This window comes from Homo sapiens, chromosome 1, assembly GCF_000001405.40.
Source record: "Homo sapiens chromosome 1, GRCh38.p14 Primary Assembly".
NCBI classification, from domain to species: domain Eukaryota; kingdom Metazoa; phylum Chordata; class Mammalia; order Primates; family Hominidae; genus Homo; species Homo sapiens.
In genome coordinates this window covers 228,182,258-228,187,695 of record NC_000001.11, presented here as the reverse complement: position 1 = coordinate 228,187,695, position 5,438 = coordinate 228,182,258, and positions in this window count along the sequence as shown.

Sequence of the window (5,438 nt, the reverse complement as noted above, 5' to 3'; positions counted from 1 at the left end):
GGTGGGAGGATCACCTCAGGTCAGAAGTTCGAGACCACCCAGGCCAACATGGTGAAACCATGTCTTTACTAAAAATACAAAATTAGCTGGGCATGGTGGCAGGTGCCTGTAATCCCAGCTACTCGGAAGGCTGAGGTAGGAGAATTACTTGAACCCAGGAGGTGGAGGTTGCAGTGAGCCGAGATCACCATTGCACTCCAGCCTGGATGATAGAGTGAGCCTCCAGGTCAAACAAAAAGAAAATATGGTACTTATATTCAGTGGATGTATACTACATTATTCACTCATAAAAAAGAAGGAAATCCTGTCACTAGCAGCAACATGAATGGAACTGAAGGTCTTTTTTTTTTTTTTTTTTTTTGAGACAGAGTCTCACTCTGTCACCCAGGCTAGAGTGATACAGTAAGCCGAGATCGTGCCACTACAGTGGCACGATCTCGGCTTACTGCAACCTCCACCTCCCGGGTTCAAGCGATTCTCCTGCCTCAGCCTCCTAATTAGCTGGGACCACAGGCGTGTGCCACCATGCCCGGCTAATTTTTTGTATTTTTAGTAGAGATAGGGTTTCACCGTGTTAACCAGGATGGTCTCCATCTCCTGACCTTGTGATCTGCCCGCCTCAGCCTCCCAAAGTGCTGGGATTAGAGGCATGAGCCACTGTGCCCAGCCCAGAACTGGAGGTCTTTACGTTGAGTGAAATAAGCCGGACACAGAAAGACAACTTCGTGTGTTCTCGCTTTCACGTGGGAGCTGAAACAGTGGACCTCGTGGAGATGGAGAGGACTAGTGGGTCCCAGAGGCCAGGGAGGGTGGGGAGGTAGAGATAAGAGAAGTTGATGAATGGGTACAAATACATGATTTGACAGAATAAGACTTACTGTTTCAGAGAGCAGTAGGGTGACTGTACTTTACAATAATCAATTGTACATTTCCAAATAGCTATAAGAGAGTAATTCAAATGTTTCTAGCATAAAGGCAAATCGTGCAGATGATGAAGACACCCCAAGTATACTGGTTTGATCTCTACAACTTGTATGAATGTATTAAATTATAACATGTACCCCAAAAATATGCATCAACTGAAAAAAAAAGGATCACAGGCTTAAATGGAAAATATAAAACTACAAAGCTTGTAGAAAAAACATAGAAGAGGCTGGGTGCAGTGGCTCACGCCTGTAATCCCGGCACTTTGGGGAGGCCGAGACGGGCAGATCACCTGAGGTCAGGAGTTCGAGACTAGCCTGTCCAACATGGTGAAACCCCATCTCTACTAAAAATACAAAAATTGCCGGGCTGTGGTGGTGGGCACCTGTTTAATTCCAACTACTCAGGAGGCTGAGGCAGGAGAATCGCTTGAACCCGGGAGGCGGAGGTTGCAGTGAGCCAAGAGCATGCCGCTGTTGTACTCCAGCCTGGGTGACAAGAGCCAGACTCCATCTCAAGAAAAAAAAAAAAGAAGAAGAAAATGGTCAGAATCTAGGCCTAGGCAAAGAGTTCTTAAAGCTGACACCTAAAGCTTGATCCATAAAAGGGAAATTTAATCAACTGGACCTCATCAAAATGTTAACAGCGTTTGCTCTGTGAAAGCCTCAGTGAAGAGGACTAGAGGACATCCTGCCGACAGGAAGAAATACTGCAACCCAGACACCATCCCCCATTGTCATTTGTGCATTCTGTTCAATAAAATATATTTGTAACCCCGAAATCAATCCTCTGGGAGCGTTCAGAGTCGTCTGTGGACTTAGGCACAGTGAGAACCTCTGCGTGGCCCAGTGCACTCCTTCCCAGCTCAGGTGGAGAAGGTTGTGCCCTGCCTGTGGTTTTTGACTTGTGAAGCATCATTTAATGGTCTATTTGGTGCCACATTTTCCACGTTTGTGCTTTTTGTGGGCGATTTCGCTGTTTAAAGGTGCCTCCCAGCACAGTGCTGAAGTGCTGTCTGGCGTCTAGGTGCAGGAAGGCCGTGACAAGCCTGGTGAAGATCGTGTTAGATAAGCAGGAGTTACAGTGCCCCAGGCCGTGAGCACCACGTGAACGCACCAGCAATCTGTATTAAACCAGGTATCTTCAAACAAAACACACCTAAAGCAAGGTTATGCATTGATTAGGTGATGAAAATGTGACCAGAGGCTCCCAGGAGCCTTCCCAGTATTTCTCTGCTGAGAGATAGATGATAATTTGCTATTTTGGCAATCCTGGTGACTTCACGGATGTAACTACTGCCAAATAATGAGAATCGACTGGATCTGACATATGGTATCACAGTATCTACTGAGGCCAGGTATGGGGGCTCACTCCTGTGATCCCAGCACTTTAGGAGGCCAAGGTGAGAAGACTGTCTGAGCCTAGGAGTTCAAGACCAGCCTGGGCAATAGAGTGAGACCCCATCTCTACAAAATCAAAAATTAGCGGGGTGTGGCACCTCATACCTGTAGTCCCAGTGACTCAGGAGGATCGCTTGAGCCCAGGAGGTTGAGGCTGCAGTGAGCCAAGATCACACCACTGCACTCTAGCCTGGGCAACAGAGCCAGACCCTGTCTCAAAAAAATAAAGAAATAAAAAAGACATGCTAAACAACGAGAATTAAATGAACAATCCAATTAGAAAGTGGGCAAAAAATGGCCAGGTGCAGTGGCTTGTGCCTATAATCCCAGCACTTTGGGAGGCCCAGGCAGGCGGATCACCTGAGGTTAGCAATTCGAGCCCAGCCTGGCCAACATGGCAAAACCCAGTCTCTACTAAAAATACAAAATTAGCCAGGTGTGGTGGCAGGCGCCTGTAGTCCCAGCTACTTGGGAGACTGAGGCAGGAGAATCACTTGATCCTGGGAGGCGGAGGTTGTAATGAGCTGAGATTGTGCCACTGCACTCCAGCCTGGGCGACAGAGCAAGACTCCGTCTCAAAAAAAAAAACAGAGAGAATGGGCAAAAAACGTTTCGCCAAAGAGGATGTACAGATGGCAAGTAAGCACATGAAAAGGTGTTCGGTGGCATTGGCCATCAACACAATACAAACTGAAATCACAGCATGAGGTCACCACACTTAGATCAGAAGGGGGAGAACCAAAAAGCAGTGACCACCCCATGTGCTGGGGAGGACATGGAGAAACCAGATCACTCACACACTGCTGGTGGAAGGTGAAACCAGACTGCCACTCTAGAAAGCAGCTGAGCAGTTTTTTACAAAACAGAACAGGCAGTTACTATATGGCCCAGCAATCACATTTCCAGGCCCAGAGAAATGAAAACGCATGTTCACACAGTAAATTGACCATGAATATTTATGGCAGTTTTAGGTGTAACAGCAACAATTGCAAACAACCCACGTGTCTTCAGTGCTGCCTCGACCGGCTTGAGCCACCAGCACACTGATTTTCCCACAGTCCTGGAGGCAGGAGTCCGAGATCAAGGGGGCAGGACTGGTTCCTCCGAGGCCTCTCTCCGCAGCTGGCAGCCCCTGCCTTCTCCCTGTGCCCTCACTTGGCCTTTACTCCCTGTGTGCACCCCAGGGGGTCTTTTTGTGTGTCCAGATTTCTTCTTTTTATCAGGACACAGTCAGATTAAATTAGGGCCCTCCCATATGACCCCATTTTAACTTAATCAACGTTTGTGAACATCGTATCTACAAACACAGTTACATTCCGAGTCCCTGGGGATGATGGCTTCAGCCTGTGACATTGTTGGGGGGACATGATTCAGCCCAAAACAAATGGGCAGATGGGCAAAGAGACGTGGCTCACACCCTAGGAAAAACAACTCAGAAATAAAAAGGAACGAACTACGCAACAGCTGGAAGAGAGCTCCAGCACATGTCCTCGTGCCAGAGGCAGCACCTGGATGACCCCACGGATATGACGTTTCTTTTTTTTTTTTTTTTTTGGAGACAGAGTCTCACTCACTCTGTCACCCAGGCTGGAGTACAGTGGCACGATCTTGGCTCACTGCAACCTCTGTCTCCCGGGTTCAAGCAATTCTCCTGCCTCAGCCTCCTGAGTAGCTGGATTACAGGCGTGCGCCACCACGCCCGACTAATTTTTGTATATTTAGTACAGACGGAATTTCACCATGTTGGCCAGGCTGGTCTCGAACTCCTGACCTCAAGTGATCTGCCCACCTCAGTCTCCCAAAGTGCTGGGATTACAAGTGTGAGCCACCATGCCCAGCTGGATATGATATTTCTGAGATGACAAAATTCTAGAAACGGAAGATGGGCTATGGTTGCCAGGGATTAGGGATAAGATGGCGTTAGAGACATAGGTGTGAAAGGGCCACACAGGGATCTTCCTGGGGATGCTAAGCAAGATGGGCGGAGGCTAAGTAAGGCCACCGGATGGCATCAAAGTCCATGTCCTTGTGTGAGACTGTGGTGTTCTGCAAAGACTCACTGTTAGGAAAAGTTGGGCAGAGGGAACAAGGGATCGCTCTGTATTATTTCTTACAACTATTATGGCAACAGCAGTTTCTCTTTTTTTTGAGACAGGGTCCCCCTCTGTTGCCCAGGCTGTGGAATGCAGTGGTGCGATTGTACAGCACTCCAGTCTTAACCTCCTAGGCTTAAGTGATCCTCCCACCACAGCCTCCCAAAGTGCTGTGATTAGGATTAGGGTTAGGTGGGGATTAGGGGGCATGAGCCACCATGTCCAGCGGGCAATAAAGTTTCAATTAAAAAACAGCAACATCTGCAGCCCAGCACGATGTCCTTAAAAGACCAGAAACACAATCAGCACACACCTGTCCACAGCTGGTGAGGCCAGAGGGCAGGTGTCCACCCCTCAGAGCCGTTTTCCCCAAATGCCCTTCTCCAGCATGTCCGGGTGGCCCACACATCTGAGCTCCCAAATTCAGGACCCTCCAGACTGCCTACCCCCAGCTGGGCATCCAACTGCTATCCACACCTCCAGTGCCCTCACACGCCCCATCCCTGTCTCCACCACAAACACCCCACCCACCACACACCCCGTCCCCACCATACAAACCCCGTCCTCCCCCACACACCCCATCCCCCCACACACACCCCGTCCCCACCGCACACACCCCGTCCCCACCGCACACACCCCGTCCCCACCGCACACACCCCGTCCCCACCGCACACACCCCGTCCCCAGCACACACACCCCGTCCCCACCGCACACACCCCGTCCCCAGCGCACACACCTCATCTCCCCACCACACACACCCCGTCCCCACCGCACACCTCGTCCCCACCACACACACCCCATCTCCCCACCACACACACCCCGTCCCCACCGCACACCCCATCCCCACCGCACACACCCCGTCCCCACCACACACACCCCGTCCCCACCACACACCTCGTCCCCACCACACACTTCCCGTCCCCCCACCACACACCCCGTCCCCACCATACACACCCCGTCCCCACCACACACACCCTGTCCCGCTTTCCTGCTTCATTTTTCACCATAGAGCCCGTAGCAA